Below are 18,544 nucleotides of genomic sequence, written 5' to 3'. Positions count from 1 at the left end.
TTGGAGCCGAGCCCAGGATACCAGGGACATTTTATAGTGGCAGAGAGCCCTGAGAGATTGTATACAACACAGTCTAGATTCTTTATATGATCCCTGAGATACATACTATACATTGTATGTTGAAAATTTTACTTGTAATATTCATAACAGCCCAATATTCTGAGATATGCAGGGAAGGAGTGCTCTAGTAGCATACTTCTATAACATTTGTATCTTTTAAAATAATAACCATACAGCACTTGTGCAATTTATGAAGAAAATTTAAAAATGGTGTTGAATTAGTTGGAGCAGGTAGAGATTCTTTCTTTCCTTCCTTCCTTCCTTCCTTCCTTCCTTCCTTCCTTCCTTTCTTCTTTCTCTTGCTTGCTTGCTTTTTGAGACGGAGTCTTGCTCTGTCATCAGGCTGGAGTAGAGTGGCATGATCTCAGCTCACTGCAACCTCCGCCTCCCAGTTCAAGCAACTCTCCTGCCTCAGCCTCCCGAGTAGCTGGGACTACAGGTGTGCACCACCACACCCAGCTAATTTTTGTATTTTTAGTAGAGATGGGGTTTCACCATGTTGGCCAGGATGGTCTGGCTCTCTTGACCTTGTGATCCACCTGCTTTGGCCTCTGAAAGGTTTCTTTCATTTTTAATGTCATTTTCTCAAACCTTAAAAAATACCTGCAGGATCTTCAAAGTCAGCCTGCTGGTGTAGTATCACCATTATTGTTTTTCCTTAATTTTTACTCCATGACAAGAGAAAATTTGAAAGTGATCAGCTTTTTTGATTTTTGCAAAAGGGAGCTGTTTTTCTGCTGTGGTGAGTTGTCTTTGACAGATTAATATAACATGTTAAAACTGATATGTCAGGAAATATTTAAACAAATTAACATGTCTATTAAAATGTAAATTGTGGACATACATAAATATTTACTCCTTTATTGAACAGGACAAGCACATCTCCCCTGACCATACCTAAATGTTTGAATTTTCTCCAAGGACAAAGCTGGAGACAGTTGGCAAAAATGGAGGGCATATACATGAAGGAATTACTGTGTTTTATTGGCTTAACCTCAGGTGTGCCGGTGGCTTAGCCCTTTGGAGTGAATGGCAGAGCCGAACCCTTTCTAGGAGTGCAGATATGAGGTCATCAAATTTCTGATGGCTGTGAATCATATCTGCTAGACTTTCTCTCCTTAGAGATGAGGAAAGCCTGTTTGTATTGAATATTTTTTTTTCCAGGTCAGCTGCAGCAAGGAAAAAGAGAGGAAATTAACTGCTTTCTACAAACTTTTTGCAATAGCCTTCATATCTAAGACTAAAGACTCCACTTGATTCAAACTGGGAACAGATTTTAAAATGTCAGGGACAGCTGGGGAGTGATTCTTTCAAAGTCCCAGGGCTCAAAATACTTGTCAGGCTAAGAGAACAAGGAGAAAGAGGCAGTACTCCAGCTGTTCAAATAGAAACTGTTGCCTCCAAAAGATTCCCTTTAAAACAAGCCATTCCTCCTCTTGCTCCCCAGCCTGCTCTCTGGTAGACCTCTTCGAGTTCCACTCAACGTTAGCTTCCATCCTGCAAACTTATAAGCTGTTCTTGACTCTGTCTCATTCCTCACATCCTCAGTGTGGCGTGTGGAAAGAAGAGGAACCAGAAAAGAATGTTTGTGAAGTTCTGGCTTGAATCTCGTGCCGGGAGGTGAGTCTGCACACAGCCCCCGATCCTTCTAAATGCACGAGGATGACGACTTCTATTTTCCCAGGGATGTCTGAGCTTCCAGCGAAGCAGTCTATGAAAAAGCATCTGTTGCGAAGTAGGCATTCAGTACATGTAAAAAACAAATGCACACACAAACCAACGCTTCCCTTATTGCATCATTTCTCAGTTCCATCCCTCCTTTGCATTCTTACCGCCTCTCCAGCCCTGGCCTGTGCAACCTTGAGACTGAGTTATGGAATAGCCTTTGGTCCTGTCCTGCCTGGAGTCTCTCTTTCCAAGCCCTTCTCTGGGTCACGGGGACAAAGTGCTCTGACCCCCACCTGACACACTGGTCTTTCTATGCACAGAACCCTGTGCATGTTCTTTTCTACTTTTAGGTTGGCGGTCAAAGTCCTTGGTCTGGAATTGGCTTTCAGAGTTAATTTTCCCAAAGTTGGTCTTCACACCTTGCTCCTTGGGCCTCCTTGTTTACAGGGAGGATAAAGGTTTGCCTTCTCTTCCCTTTATAAGCAAGTCACGGGGCTCCCACCTCCACCTTTGTCCATGCAGTTCTTCCTTGACTTCTTTGCCTTTCCTCTGCTTCACAGCTACTTTCCGTGGACTTTTCCCAACTACACCCTGGAGGGTCTGTCTTCTCTTACCTCCATTGCACCAGCAGAATGGCTTGGAATTTATCAGAGGTCACACTCTGTTTTGTATAAGTTCTGGGCCCTTGTCTGGTTTAGAGCTCCTTGAGGGATTGGCATATACAGCTTTAGACCTTCAGAACCTAGCATTGCTTCAGAGGGGCCATAAATACAGGTTAATGAGGAGGAACAGAATAGGATAGGTATTCCCCTGACCCGCCCAGGGACCTCCCCTGATGCTCGTAGCCCTGTCTTGGATAATTGTTCACTGCTATTGGAACATAGGCTTTACTGTTCATTTATTCTTTAACATGTTTTTATTAAGCACCTACTGTGTATTAGGCACTGTGGTAGGCACTGGCAATGCAATAGTGAAGAAAGCATTTCCTAAGTCCTTTTTGCTTATAGAAGCTTCATTTCAAAATTACTTGCAGAAGGGTAGGGGTGAGTCCAGGTTTTGTGGAGCCTAGCACGTTTATAATTGATGGGCCCCCTTGGGAAAAAATATAAAATTTCAAATACAAATGAATATTTTGATTCAATGTTTAAAATGATAAAAGAAATAAAACATTATTAAATATTATTAAATTTATTAAATTTAAAACACTGACCAGTACCACAAACATTGAAAAATACACGAAAAAGCATTTCAGCTAGTTTTCTATGTAGTTTTCCTAAGTACTTGTTTCTCTTAGACATTTTTGACTTCCCTCTCTTCAGATGAAAGTTTTGTAATATTTTCCTAGAAAGAAGCTAGGAAGATAATTAAGTCTTCCCTCTAGCATTGTTGATTGAATTTGTTATTATTGCTGATAGTTTACAACAAATGAATTTTTAGTTCCCCAATTAGTTATGGGTAAATTTTCAGGATTAATGTCAAATTTGGGCAAATGTCTACTGAGTTTCCCTTATACAGTAATTATAAGATTCAAGGGCTTTCCAACTTTTCTCCTATACTAATCTCTAAAAAAAAATCTTCAAGTTGGAGCCGAAAACCGAATACCACATGTTCTTACTTGTAAGTGGGAGCTAAACACAAGGTGCCGTGGACATGAAGATGAAAGCAATAGACACTGGGGACTCCTAGAGTGGGGAGAGGGGGAGAGGGACAGGGCTGAAAAACTACCTCATGGGTGCTATGCTCCCTGGGTGGTGGAGTTATTTACACAATAGACCCATGTCACAAACCTGCACGTGTGCAGCCCCTGAATCTAAAATCAAAGTTGAAATTATTTTTAAAATAATTCATTCTCTTAACAAAAAGGGGAAAAAAGAAGATGGTTTGTTTATAATTGTTTTAGTTGAATCACCAACAATATTTCTAATAGGAGAGAACTTCCATTTTGCCTAGGTGCCTGTAAGGACTGAAACTTCCACTTGCAATGATACAAGCCTGCTGATTGGAAACATTCCCCACAGATTCCATTCCAAACCTTGTTTCTCCCCACCCCACCCACTGGTCTCTGAGGGTTGGTGCTATGGAGAGACTCTAAGGCATGAGCTGTCTGGTCAGTGTTGGTGCGTCAGCAGAATGGGTGGTAGGACCATCCCAGAAGCAACTCCTGCACCAGAACCCCCAGCATTGATGCTACATAAGTGACTGGGGATCACAAACATATACCCCTCTTGACCAATCGAATGGATGCCCAATACCAATCTCCCTTTAGCATCATCCTCAAAATGCCCTCAGCCACTCCACACCACCAGATAGGTCCTGGAAAGGGGCCATGGGAGTGAGGGCTGGCCAGTCGACGTCATCCACTTCATAGTAAGTCTGCCTGTGGCAAAGGAAAGAAGTCGGCTCTGGGCTTATTGCCATGGACTGTGGAGGGACTGGAGTCCTTCAGAATGGTGCTCCCCAGAGTGAGAGCCATGGACCAGCAGTGTCAGAGTCACCTGGAGCTTGTAAGAATGCAGATTCTTGGGCCCTATCCTAGACCTACTGGATCAGAACTGAGATCTTCAGGTGGTTCTGATGCATACTAAAGATGCAAGGATCATTACTTTAGAATTATATATCCAATATGATAGCCAGTCACCATATATGGCTATTAAAGTTGATTAAAAGGAAACAATTTCTAGTGCTCAATAGCCACATGTGGCTAGTGGCTGTCATAGTGTACACTTAGACATTGAGCATTTCTATCATCAAAGATGCTTCTGCTGGACAGGACTGTTTAGAATACATGCCATCCAGGTGTGCTTCCATCCCAAACTCCTTCCCACTATGGCCAGTTATATGGCTAGCATTATATAGCATATATTCAACTATATCATCAACTATGGCATGATCCCACTTTATCAACATTATGTATTTATATGTGGACCTTTCCAACTATAAACTATGTGAGTTCCAGGACCCTGGGTTGTTCATCTTAAAACCTGCAAAGCCTAGCCTTGAGTCTAATACATAATGTTAAGTGTATGTTTGTGCCACAAACACCTAAATGAAATATATCAAGATATGTTAACAAAGGATGCAGAAGTTTTCCTTTCTTCTGTAATTATAATTCATATGTTTATCTTGTGTTATGTAATGCCCTTATTATCAATGCTCTGGTTTGGGGGAGACTAAGTCCACTTGCATTTGATGAAGGCCACTGGCCTCAAGTTTGTACCTTTTGCTCCACTATGACTATTTGGGAAATATACTCTTTGGCAAAATAATCTCTGTCTTTCAGAAGCCCCAGGTTGATCTTGAATTAAATAACACAGGCAGGGAAAAACACTGATGATAGTGCCATTCACTCAATAACACCAAGATAAGAACCAAATTATTCCACCTACTTAAATCATTTTTGTCTAGCTCACAATAGGAAGATAATTTAATTTCAGGAGATTGGAAACATTGATTGAGCAGTGAGTCCCTAAGGCATTTATTAGACAAATAAGACCAATGAAGAAGAAATATGTTTTTCATCTTTAAATTTCCATAAAAGATTTATAGCCAAACTTGGTAGAGTTGACTTTAAAAATATAACAGTTCCCACAAAAGTGGATACTCACAGGACATGGTAGATAAGGATACAGCAGAGGAGCTGACAACAGGTGGCCTTGGGTTTTACGCTGTGTCAGTACCTCTCTTGCCTGCAGTCTTTGGCCTGAAGCCCAAGGTGAAAAAGCCAAGGGGCAGCCATTGCTCCAGTGTGCAAGAGTGTTTCACTTATTCATTATAGCCATGATTATAGGGGGTACCGGCTATGCACGATTTTTTTCCCTCCAGGAAGAAAGAGATGTAAAAGAATTTTAAAATTTTATTTTAATAAATGTCTCAGGTTGGGCTTAGTGGTGATGAGATCGCAGGGGGATTTGTCTAGTGTATTCCAGCCTTTCTCAGCATCTAATGATAAAAAACAGTGTCAGGTTTCTGCTTTCCCCCCACCCCACTAGGCTGTATTTACACTAATCAAGCCATATCTTCTTGACAATCTCATTCCATTTTGACTGTCTTCCAATTCCAGCCACATTTATTTACCTGTAGTTTGCTTGCACCGAAAGTGTGGGAATACAGTTAAGGACAACAGGTGGAGAAAGCTGGCTGGGGGAAGGAAGGAGAATCCCAGGCTATATCCAGGCTGGGCCCAGTATGAGACTCCAAAGAGATGAGGCAGAAGAGGACCCCTGGTTAGTACTACTCAGATAGGTCTCCTCGTCCCTGGTCGTGGCAGGAAAGTTTAGGGTTTGCTCATGCGTGGGGCCCTTGGTCAACACCTACCCTGGCTTTAGCCCAGGGGCTTCACTGCTGCTCAAATCTGAGCAAGGAGCCAATTTAGCTGCATTTCCAGAAAGTATCCCCCCTGATTTCAAAGACAGGAATCTGGACCCATTCATAGGTGGTGGGAACTGCAGTAGAAGAGGTGTGGATTTTAGGGACAGGAAGACCTGGTTTTAAAGCCCAGCCTTGCCTCTTAAAGGCTTTAACTGAACTACCTAACCCTCAGTCTCCCCATTTGTAAATGGTGAGGTAGTATAATAATAGTTATTGAAGTTCACAACTTTGAACATCCCCTTCTCAGCAACTGACAGGACTACTAGGCAGAAGATCAACAAGGATATAGAACATCTGAATGGTGCTATCAACCAACTGCATTGATTGACATACATAGAACACCCACCCAACAACTGCAGAGCACACGCCTTTGAAAACTCCCATAGAATGCTTACCAGGATAGAGCATAATATGGTTTGGTTCTGAGTCCCCACCCAAATCTCATCTCGAGTTGTAATCCCCACCTATCAGGGGAGGAACCAGGTGGGACGTGATTGAATCATGGGGGTGGATTTCCCCCTGCTGTTTTTGTGATACTGAGTGAGTTCTCATGAGATCCGGTTGTTTGAAAGTGTGTGGCACATCCCCCTTTTCTCTCTCTCTCCTGCGACAGTGTGAAGAAGGTCCTTGCTTCCCCTTCACCTTCTGCCATGATTCTAAGTTTCCTGACGCCTCCCAGCCGTGCTTCCTGTTAAGCCTGTGAAACTGTGAGTCAATCAAACCCTTTTCTTCATAAATTACCCAGTTTCAGGTAGCTCTTTATAGCAGTGTGAAAATGGACTAATACAGAAAATTGGTACCAGAGAGGTGGGGCATTCCTATAAAGATACCTGAAGATGTAGAAGCAATTTTGGAATTTGGGTAATGGGCAGAGGTTACAACAATTTGGAGGGCTCAGAAGATAGGAAGATGAGGGGAAGTTTGGAACTTCCTAGAGACTTGTTCAATGGTTTTGACCAAAATACTGATAGTGATGAATAGTGAAGTCCAGGCTGAGGTGGTCTCAGATGGAAATGAGGAACTTACTGGGAATTGGAGCAAAGGTCACTCTTGCTATGCTTTAGCAAAGAGACTGGTGGCATGGTGCCCCTGCTCTAGGGATCTGTGGAAAGAAATTTCTAGGCAGTAAAGTGTTCAAGATGTGATCTGGCTGCTTCTAACAGTGTATAGTCATATGTATTCATAAAGAGATGTTCTGAAATTGGAACTTACATTAAAAAGGGAAGCTGAATATAAAAGTTTGGAAACTTTGCAGCCTGACCATGTGGTACAAAAGAAAAAAAAACATATTTCTGAGGAGAATTCAAGCCAGCTGCAGAGATTTGCGTAAGTAAAGAGGAGCCAAATGTTAATAGCTGAGACAATGGGGAAAATGTCTCCAGGGCGTGTCAACGACCTTAGCTTCAGCCCCCCCCATCACAGGCCTGGAGGCCTAGGAAGGGAAAATGGTTTCCTGGGCCAGGTTCAGGGCCCCTCTGCTCTGTGCAGCCTTGGGACATGGCACCCTGTGTCCCAGCCACTCCAGCTCCAGCCATGGCTAAAAAGTGCCAAGGTGCAGTTTGGGCCATTGCTTCAGAGGGTGCAAGCCTCAAGCCTTGGTGGCTTCCATGTAGTGTCAGGCTTGTGGGTGCTCAGAAGGCAAGGGTTGAGGCTTGGGAACCTCTACCTAGATTTCAGAGGACGTATGGAAACACTGGATGTCCAAGTATTAGTTTGCTGCAGGGGCAGAACCCTCATGGAGAACCTCTACTAGGGCAGTGCAGAGGGGAAATGTGGGGTTGGAACCCACACACACAGTCTCCATTGGGACACTGCCTAGTGGAGCTGTGAGAAGGGGGCCACTGTCCTCCAGACCCCAGAATGGTAGATCCGCTAACAGCTTTCACTGTACACCTAGGAAAGATGTAGGCACTCAATGCTAGCCCATGAAAGCAGCCACGGTGGCTGTTCCCTGCAGAGCCACAGAGGTGGAGCTGCCCAAGGCTTTGGAATCCCATCCCTTTCATCAGTGTGACCTGGATGTGAGACATGGAGTCAAAGGTGATTATTTTGGAGCTTTAAGATTTAATGACTGCCCTGCTGGGTTTTGGACTTGCATGGGGCCTGTAGCCCCTTTGTTCTGGCTCATTTCTCTCTCTGCAATGGGAGCATTTACCCAATGCCTGTATCCCCATTGTATCTTGAAAGTAACTAACTTGTTTTTGATTTTACAGGCTCATGTGGAAGGGACTTACCTTGTCTCAGATGAGACTTTGGACTGTGGATTTTGAGTTAATGCTGGGATGAGTTAAGACTTTGGGGGACTGTTGGGAAGGCATGATTGGTTTTGAAATGTGAGAAGAACATGAGATTTGGGAGAGGCCAAGGGTGGAATGATATGGTTCGGCTCTATGTCCCCACCCAAATCTCATCTCAAATTGTAATCCTCACATGTTGTGGGAGGGGCCTGGTGGGACGTGATTGAATCATGGGGGTGGATTTCCCCCTTGCTGTTCTCTTGATAGTGAGTGAGTTCTTGCAAGATCTGGTTGTCTGAAAGTGTGTGACATGTCTCCCTTTGCTCTTTCTCCATCCTGCCACCATGTGAAGGAGGTCCTTACTTCCCCTTCACCTTCTGCCTTAATGTTAAGTTTCCTGAGGCCTTCCAGCCATGCTTTCTGTTAAGCCTGTGGGTCAATTAAACCTCTCTTCATAAATTACCCAGTCTCAGGTATTTCTTTATAGCAGTGTGAAAATGGGCTAATACAGAGCATATCCTAGGCTATAAAATAAACCTAAATAAACATAACATTTAAAAGAGTTGAAATTATACAGAGCATATTCTCTGATCATAATGGAATCGAGGTAGAAATCAATAACAGAATGATAACAGGAAGATCTCTAGATCGGTGGAAATTAAACAACATACTTCTAAATCCTAAGGTCAAAGAGAATGTCTCAAAAGAAATTAACAAAAACCTATAGAACTGAAGAAAAATGAAAACAGATATCAAGAACACCTGAGATGAAGTTAAAGCAGGGCTAAGTGAGAAATTATAGCCCTAAATGTTTACATTATAAATGAGGAAAGTTCTCAAATGAATAACCTACATTCCTACTTCAAGAAATTAGAAAAAGAATAGCAAAATAAACCCAAAGCAAGTATAACAAAGGAAATAAAGATAAGGGCAGAAATCAATGAAATGGAAAATAGGAAAACAATGGGGAAATTATGAAATAAAGAGCTGGTTTTTTGAAAAAAATCAATGACGTTGAAAAATATCTATGATCGAGACCATCCTGGCTAACACGGTGAAACCCCATCTCTACTAAAAATACAAAAAATTAGCCGAGCATGGTGGCAGGCTCCTGTAGTCCCAGCTACTTGGGAGGCTGAGGAAGGACAATCACTTGAACCTGGGAGGCGGAGGTTGCAGTGAGCAGAGATTGCGCCACTGCACTCCAGCCTGGGCAACAGAGTGAGATTTTGTCTCAAAAAAAAAAAAGAAAAAAAAAAGAAAAAAATCTCCATGAAAGTTGACAAAAATAAAAAGAATGAAGGCACCAATCACCAAATTTGGAATGAAACAGAGGATATCCCAACAGATCCTGCAGATATTGAAAAGATAACAAGGGAATACTATTAATAATTATATGCCCATCAATTTGAGAACTTGGAAGAAATAGATCATTTCCTTGAAAATGACAAACTACCAAAACTCAACCAAGGTAAAATACAGTAGTCACTCCTTATCTGTGGTTTTGTTTTCTGCTGTTTCAGTCAACTGTGGCTCAAAAATGTTAAATGGAAAACTGCGGAAATAAACAATCTATAAAATTTAGATTGTGTGTCATTCTGAGTAGCATGATGAAATCTCTTACTGTCCTGCTCTTTGCATCCAGGATGTGAATTCTCCCTTTGTCCGGTGTCTTGATGAGTTGCACCACCACCTGTTGGTCATTTAGTAGCTGTTTTCTCAGATTGACTTTCGTGTTATTATAGTACTTGTGTTCCAGTTACCCTTATTTTACTTAATAATGGCCCCAGAGTGCAACAGTGGTGATTTGAATATGCCAAAGAGAAGCCATAAAGTGCTTCCTTTAAAAATGAAATTAAAAAATGAAAGTTCTCAACTTAATAAAGGGAAAAAATAATATACTGGGGCTGCTACAGTAAAAATGAATCTTCTATCCTTGAAATGGTGAAGAATGAAAAAGAAACTCATGCATAGTATAGATAGGTAGATAGGGTTCAGTACTATCCTAGGTTTCAGACATCCACTGGGGGACTTGGAACGCATCCCCTGCAGATAAAGAGGAAACACTGTAAATAATCCGAATATCCCTATAACCATTAACAACTTCTAATTGAATTTGTAATTAAATCATCCTGAAAAAGAAATGTCTGGGCCCAGATAGTTTCACTGCATCTGTGGGGGGTCCCCAAGACAATCACCAGGTTCAGTGATTCACTAGGAGGGCTCCCAGGGTCCTGCATGTTGCCTCATGCATGTCTGAGATTTATTAACGGTGCAAAGATACAGGGTGGGGTTGGCAAAGGGAAAGGCACGCTGGACAAAGTCTGGGAGACACAAGGTGCAGGTGTTTGAGTCACCTCCCAGTGGAGTCAAACAGGACATTCTGAGTTTCTCCAGCAACGAGCTGCACCAGTATGTGTGAAGAGTTGCCTGTCAGGGAAGCTCACCTGAGCCTTGGGTTCGAGGGTTTTTCCTAACCATTGGGCATGTAGGGCCCGTAGTGCCTGTGTGACTGACTGACATCACTGACACTCCAGACACTCACAAGGAAAGCAGTAGTTCAGCATAATCACATTATGCTAGCAGTCTAGGTACAATGAGTCACTCTTATCATTTAGGGAAAGTGTTACATCACCATAGGGAACTACCTTTCCAGCCACATTCTCTCATACCAGCCAAGGGTAAACCTTGCAAGAGACCCTTTGTAAGGACGGCAGTTCCAGATCTGCTATGCTATTTTCTCTACACTGAAGAACTTTACAAACCAACTAAAGAATTAACACCTATTTTACATAATCTCTTCCAGAAAACAGAAGAGAAGGGAATACTTCCCAACTCATCTTTTGAGGCCAGTATTAACTGATACCCAAACCAGACAGTCAATACAAAAAGAAACTACAAAGCAATATTTCTCATAAACTTAGATGTGAAAATCCTCAACAAAGTATTAGGAAACTGAACCCAATGATGTATAAAAGGAATTAAATGCCATGACCAAGGTGGGGTTCATTTCAGGTGTGTGAAGCTGTTTCAATATTTGAGAGTCAATCAATGTAATCTATTCTATTATAATCAAAAATCATACAATCATATCAATTCATATAGAAAAAGCATTTGACAAATCCCAGCTCTTAGCAAGTTGATAAAAACTCTTAGCAAGTTAGGAATAAAGTTGAAGTATTTCAACTTGATAAAGAGAATCTATGAAAAACCTATGGCTAACATCATACTTTCTAAGATCAGGAAAAGGTCGAGTGTCTGCTTTTATTTATCTTATTCAACATAATGGTGAGAGTTCTAGCCACTGAAATGAGATAAGAAAATGAAGGATAAGGAGTAAAAATGGAAAAGATGAAACTGTCTTTAATTGCAGCTGGCATAATTGTCTATGTAGAAAATCTCAGGGAATCTACAAGAACCAAACTCCTAAGATGAATAAGTGAGTTCAGGCCATGGGATGGAAGATAACACAAAAATTAATCAATTTTCTATATACTAGCAATGAACACTTACAAACTGAACTTAAAAGCAATACCATTTACAATCGTTCTGAAGAAAATGAAATGCTAGGTATAAATGTAACAAAATACAGGATCTGTAGGCTGAAAAATAGAACACACTGATGAAAAAAAGCAAAGAAGTTCATGGACTGAAAAGTTAAGCATGGTAAGATGTTAATTCTACCTAAATTGATCTGTAGTTTTAATAGAATCCCTGTCAAATTCAGCAAGATAATTTTTTAATAGAAACAAACAAGCTTATTCTAAAATGCGTATGGAAAAACAGACTCCAGAATAGGTAAAACAATCTTGACAACAATACAGAGGAGGACTCAGTCTGTCTGATAGTGTTACTGTATAGCTATGGTAATTACGACTGTGCTATTGGTGGAAGAACAGACATATTGATTAAAGGAGCAGGACAGAAAACCTGGAAATAGATCCACACAAATCTGCCCAAGTGGTTTTTGACAAAGGTACAAGAGCAATTTACTGAAGAAAGGATAGCTTTTCAGTAAATGGTGCTGGAGCAATTGGACATCAGTAGATAAAAATAAACTTTGACCTAAGGCTCACACCTTATGTGAACATTCTCACAATGGATCATGGTCTTAGAGGTAAATGTAAAACTACAAAATTTTCAGAAAAAAAATCAGATAAAATTTTCAGTACTTGAGCTTGCTACCACAAGCACAATCCATGGATGGAAAAATTGACACACTAGACCTCATCAAAACAGAAAACTTGCTCTATGAAAGTCCATGTGAAGAGGATGAAAAAGACAAGCTGTAGACAAAAAATTTGCAAACCACATATCTAACGAAGTGTTAGTATCCAAACATAAAGAACTCACAAAACTCAACAGTGAAACATCAATTTAGTTAGAAAATGTGCACAGACATGAAGAGATATTTCACAGAGAAAATACACTTAGAAAGTAAGGATACGGACATGTTCAACGTCATTCGCCATCAGTGCTAAAAACATCACCCAAATGTTCAATAGCAGTTTTGCTTAACCGTCAAATCTTGAATCAGCCCAGATAGACTTTGACAGGTGAATGGTTAAATGCGCTGAAGTGCATGCAAGCACAAAGGAATGAATTATCGATGCATGAATCAACTTGTACGAACTTGGATGACTCTGCAGGGAGTTATGGGGAGTAAAAAGGTAATCCTGAAAAGTAACAGCCTATATTATGCCATTTTTATAATAGTTTTGAAATGATGAAATTTTAGAAGTGGAGGAGAAATTGGTGTGTGCCAGAGGCTTGGGTTAGGGTGAAGACGTGGGAGGGAGGGGTTGTGGTTATGAAAGGGCAGCTTCGGGGATCCTTGTGGAGGTGGAAGTGTTCAGTATCCTGACTGGTGCCAGATGCGTGAATCCACAGATGATAAAAATGTATGGAACTATACATACCCCCCACACACACGAGTAACAGTAAAACTAGGGAAATCTAAATCTGATTAGTAGATTGTATCTTGGTTGTCATAGTTTTGAAAAATGTTACTTTGGAGGAAGCTGCATAAAGCGCATATGAGACTCTTGGTTATTGACTAATAATCCATAAAGCAAGTAAGTATTGATTAGTAACAATCTCTATTGATTTCTTTCTTATGGTTATTGACTAATAATCCGTAAAGCAAGTAAGTATTGATTAGTAACACTCTCTATTGATTTCTTTGTTATAAACGTATGTGGATCTACAATTATCTCAATAAAATTTTTAATTAAAAAGCAAGAACACCCAGCCTTTCCTACTGAAATGTTGTATTTGGGTAACTCTAACAAGATTCCTGCTTCTGCAAGGACAGACGATGCCCTAAACCCTGCGTTTGGGGGTAGAGGATCTTTCCAGTGCCTTCCATGAGGGGTTTAGCCACAGGGTGCCCCTGTGGCCGTGCCGCCGATCCCAGTCGGGCACTCCTGGCCAAAGTTAAATTTCTTTTCTTTCCAGAAGTTAATGAACGAAAAACAGTTTCTCCTCGCTTGACATCTGTGACATCGTTATTGTATTCCAAATCTTTATGGAAGAAAGTAAGCAGTTTGATAAGTTGTGTGGAATATACCAGAAAACATGAGGGACTGAGCCCCCTGGCTCAGGCAGATGTTAGTAGGGGGCCCTCTAGTGGCTCCCTGGCTGGTCTGCAGCTTCCCACAAGGCTCCTGGAATTAGAGCCACCTGTGGGAGAGCCAGATAAGGAGAAATTGAGAGACCTTTTCATGGCAGCTCCCACTTGAGCCCACATGTAGAGGTAGTAGGCTGGAGCAACCAGGGTGATTCAAAGGGCAGGTTTCTTTGGCTTAGTTCGTCCACAGCACCTGGGATCTGTGTGAACTGCTGCAGCACTGGTCTGACTGGGCACACACAGACCCTGGGGTACTGGGATAATTTTCCACAGTTAGGCAACATGGTAGAAATCAGAATAAATGAAATAGTGCTGTTGCAGATTAGAGCTATCTACTTCACCCAGTTCACTGTGGCAATCCTTCTAACTTTGGAGAAGAACATCTGATGAAATACACTGACGTTCTTGAGCAATATATTTATTGGCCATATGGCAGAGCTTACTGTTGTTGGAAATAATGCATTGCAAAGGACCGAGGAAGGGGCAGATGGGATGGAGGGGGGAAACCTGCTTTAGTACATAGGGCAAATAAAGGATCTGGCCCAGAAAAGAACTCTTATTATTTTCTGTTTCGGACAATCATCCAAATGCCTCTGAAGGCACAATTCTCCCTTTACCTATTTTGGTACATTCTGGGACAGTCATCCCAGGATGCTATTTTGGCCATAGAAAGCCAGATGGACCTGCCAGAGCACAGAGAGGTGGCGATGTTAGAAGGGAGACTATGAGTCACTCAAAGTTTCCTCAGGAACAGTTAGGAGTGCTCACAGAGAGGAACCCCCAGAACTGGTGTTTTCTAACAGCATGGGAGTAGCCGGCTGCGTCCGTGTGTGGGCTGGAGTCTGGAGTTATTCTGCTGAATGAATCATGATTTGTGCACTATAAGTTTGAAGCTCAGACCAAATAGTTCATGAACTTTAATGCAAAAGTATTGTGGAATTACATTTTTCAGGGAAGCACTCAGTGGGAACCATGTTCTACCAAGAGCAAGGATTGTGTGGAAGCTTAAAGAGCATGAGCCTTGGTCTCTGTCACCAGAATCTTACAGTGTTAGTTGCAGGGGGGTCATGTACAAAAAAAGAGTCAACTCTAGATTTAGGGGAGTAGAGAGGCATGTTTTGTAGTGGGAGACAAATTTGTTAAGCTGAGAAGAGAGAAAAGAGCCATTCAGATGGGTAATGTCTTGAGCAAAGGTGCAAAGGCAGTAACAGCATTGGCTACAAGTGACAAGCCCGGCATGGTGGCTTATCCTGATTGGAGGATTATTTTTCTCTCATAAGCCAGCATCTTGAGGTAGGAAACCCAGGATTGGTATAGTGGCTCCATGATGCCATCGGGGCACTAGTCTCCTTTTACCTTTCTGCTCATCCCTCCTAGGTATGAGGCTTTCGTCCTAAAAGTGTATAGCCTCATGTTCACAAAAGGGCCAGTAACCCCAGCCTAGCAGGGGAGCCTCCATTCCATGCTAGAAGAAGCAGGGCACAACGGGCCAAGGCACAGACCAGTGGAGTCTGCCCCCTTTTAGAAAGCCTCTGTAGAGAGAAGCATCACCTGGAGACTTCTCGCAGAGATGTGCTGCGTGGTCTTCCCCACCCACACAAGCTGAAAGGACTAGATGCGCGCATTACCACCAGAACAAAATAGAGGCTCTGCTGCTACAGAGGATGCAGAGATTGGGCAGCGAGCAGGCACAGGCAGGAAAGGGCAAGGCAGGTTTGGGCAGGGGGCGGATGTCTCTACAACAGTTTCTGTGTGGTACAGTTAATTGTTTACCATCCTCTTGCAGATTTCTTTTTATTACAGCAAGAAACTGGTACATAACATACGGGTTACATTTTATTGATCAGAAGCTTTGGATGGCTACTGCTGTACCCTTTCCACTTTCCCCAATCAGCTATGGCCCCTCTTGGCTGGAATGCACCCTCAAATATTTGCAATTTGCACCAGCTTGGGTGCTGTCCTTCACAGTCTCATGAACTTTGGGCAAAGGCCCTGATTGTATCTCAGCTGAGTCTGACAGGTCTTGGTTTATTGACGCTCAGACCTCAGCTCACTGCAATATTTTCCACTGCTTCAAGTACTTCTGGGAGGTGGTGGGAGCATTTTCAAATGTGCTTATGAATAAAATTATTTCAATAATCTGTACACTGCCACGATGGGCTGCAGCCTCCATGCTGTGCTTCCCAGCAGCCAGCACATTGCAACCCAGCCTTGCACTGCTGTGTGCAGTAGCTCTTTCTGCCTCCATGGTGGCCAACCCAAAACTTGAGCCGCCAGAGTTTCATGGATGTCACTGTCTACACTTCTGCTCCACAGTGGTAGTGATGATGCAGCTCTCTTTCAGTCTTATTTACATCCCTGTTGTCCAGGACTCAGACCTGTATCCAGTTAATTATATTGGAGACGATTTAACCATGAATCACAATTTCTCTCTGATGCCCAAGGTTATTATTATGAACTCAATATCAGTGAACCTGGTTCCTTCCCCACTTAGCTTTCTTCTGAGAAATCCTTCAGTGATTCTGGAATGTAGACCTCAACCTCTGCAGTGTGTAGTGGAAGGTTTTTGGATCACGCTAACATCTCTGTTGTACAGGAAAGCGAAATCATTTCGAGTTAACCTATTCTCTTCCTCAGTAACTATTTTTAGTTGGTTCCAGGTACTCATCCTCATATTAGGCACATGAAGAGGATACTAACATAAGTAAATGTGATCATTGGCCTCAAAAAGCTAAGAGATTAGGGTCATTGTCCTCTCTACTTGTTCTTTTCTATGTCTTCTTTGCGTCTAATTTGTTCCTTTCCCTGCGACTATAGGGAAATATATTGTTGAATTTGGAAGCTTCTTAGTTACCACAAAGCAGCCCCCTTTCAACTTCTCCATGCTTGAAAATGTGGGGTCAGTCATGTCTCCACTCTTTTCTCAAACCCTCCTCTCTCATCCGTCTTCAGATCCTTTTGAGTTTTCCTTTGGACTTTCTCCTGCTCTTCCAAACCCCAAGCCACTACCCCCATTCTTAATTTCATTGTTGAATTGTTGCCTTAAATCCTGTCTGGCCTTCTTTCTCCACCTCTATAACCTTTCTCTTTCCCAGATCATTTTATATAAAGCTCTACACAATTCTCTTAAATGGTTCTCATCTGGACTTCAAGGCCCCTCCCTAATTTCTCCCTACCGCAGTTTGTTTGTTTGTTTGTTTATTTTTGAGACAGAGTCTTGCGCTGTCACCCAGGCTGTAGTGCAGTGGCACAATCTCAGCTCACTGCAACCTCCACCTCCCGGGTTCAAGTGATTCTCCTGCCTCACCCGGTTAAATTTTTTCTGTATTTTTAGTAGAGACAGGGTTTCTCCATGTTGGTCAGGCTGGTCTCGAATTCCTGGCCTCAAGTGATCCACCTGCCTCAGCCTCCCAAAGTGCTGGGATTACAGGTGTGAGCCACCTCGCCCAGCGGTTTGTTTTTTGTTTTGTTTTTTTTTTTTTGAGACAGAGTCTTCCTCTGTCACCCAGGCTGGAGTGCAGTGGTGCGATCTCGGCTCACTGCAACCTCCACCTCCTGGGTTCAAGCGATTCTCTGCCTCACCCTCCTGAGTAGCTGGGATTACAGGTGCGCACCACCACGCCTGGCTAACTTTTGTATTTTTAGTACAGTTGGAGTTTTGCCATGTTGGCCAGGCTGGTCTCAAACTCCTGACCTCAGGTGATCCAACCACCTCGGCCTCCCAAATTGTTGGGATTACAGGCATGAGCCACTGTGCCTGGCCTTCATTTTTTAAATTCCTCTTGCTCCATCCATGCCCATTCTTGCCTTTGGCATATTTCAGGCCCTTCCCTTTGCTGTCCTGTGTGTCCATATTTTCATATGCTGTCCATTCTCTTCTCTTTCTACTAAAACTTGTCCTTTGACTCCTACTAAGCCCAGCTTGGAACACCATTCCCATGACTTCTCCTGCCTAGTAACTTCTCCAGTCCCCTTTCTTCCTTGACCTCAGCACAAGAATGACATTTGAAGAATATTATTGTGTATGTGTTAAGCTGTGACTTTTTTTTTTTTTTTTTTTGAGACGGAGTCTGGCTCTGTCGCCCAGGCTGGAATGCAGTGGCACGATCTCAGCTCACTGCAAGCTCCACCTCCTGGGTTCATGCCCTAAGCTGTGACTTTTGCAGATATGTTTAGCTTTGCTTGCCCATGGCTGTTCTTTCCTGCATAGGAGAAATTAAATGTATTTCCCATTCATTTTCTGTCTCATGCTGTACTTGGCACAGTACATCGACCTCAGCAGCCTTCCGATTATTATTGATTGACTGAATGAAAGGTCTGACACAGTCTAAACAGCCTAACCCCTTTCATTCTGTTTCCTCTGTGAGTTATTTCTGTTAGTGAAAACATAATGGCTATTTCGTTGTGGGTTCACCTCCCTTGAAGAATTAACTTCACACGGAGAAAAGATTTGTTACGTGACCACGCAGGATACCTCCCTCTCTGTTATGGATTGTTTGCATCCCCCCAGCTTGAAATCCGTATGTTGAAATCCTCACCCCCAATATGATGGCCTTAGGAGGAGAGGCCTTTGGGAGGTAAA

At 42.4% G+C, this 18,544-nt stretch overlaps 1 long non-coding RNA gene across 1 annotated transcript in view; it reads left to right on the top strand.

Moving 5' to 3' along the window:
* Positions 1-18,544, top strand: part of LY86-AS1 (LY86 antisense RNA 1) — a 276,362-nt gene that overhangs the window by 51,729 nt on the left and 206,089 nt on the right. The window contains exons 2-3 of the long non-coding RNA NR_026970.1: positions 1,609-1,680; positions 6,710-6,803. This is a non-coding gene — a long non-coding RNA (LY86 antisense RNA 1). The remainder of the gene's footprint in view (positions 1-1,608; positions 1,681-6,709; positions 6,804-18,544) is intronic.

Source organism: Homo sapiens, chromosome 6 (assembly GCF_000001405.40).
Source record: "Homo sapiens chromosome 6, GRCh38.p14 Primary Assembly".
Lineage (NCBI taxonomy): Eukaryota > Metazoa > Chordata > Mammalia > Primates > Hominidae > Homo > Homo sapiens.
Note: the sequence above shows the minus strand (reverse complement) of the source record. Positions and strands in the feature narration are given on the sequence as shown.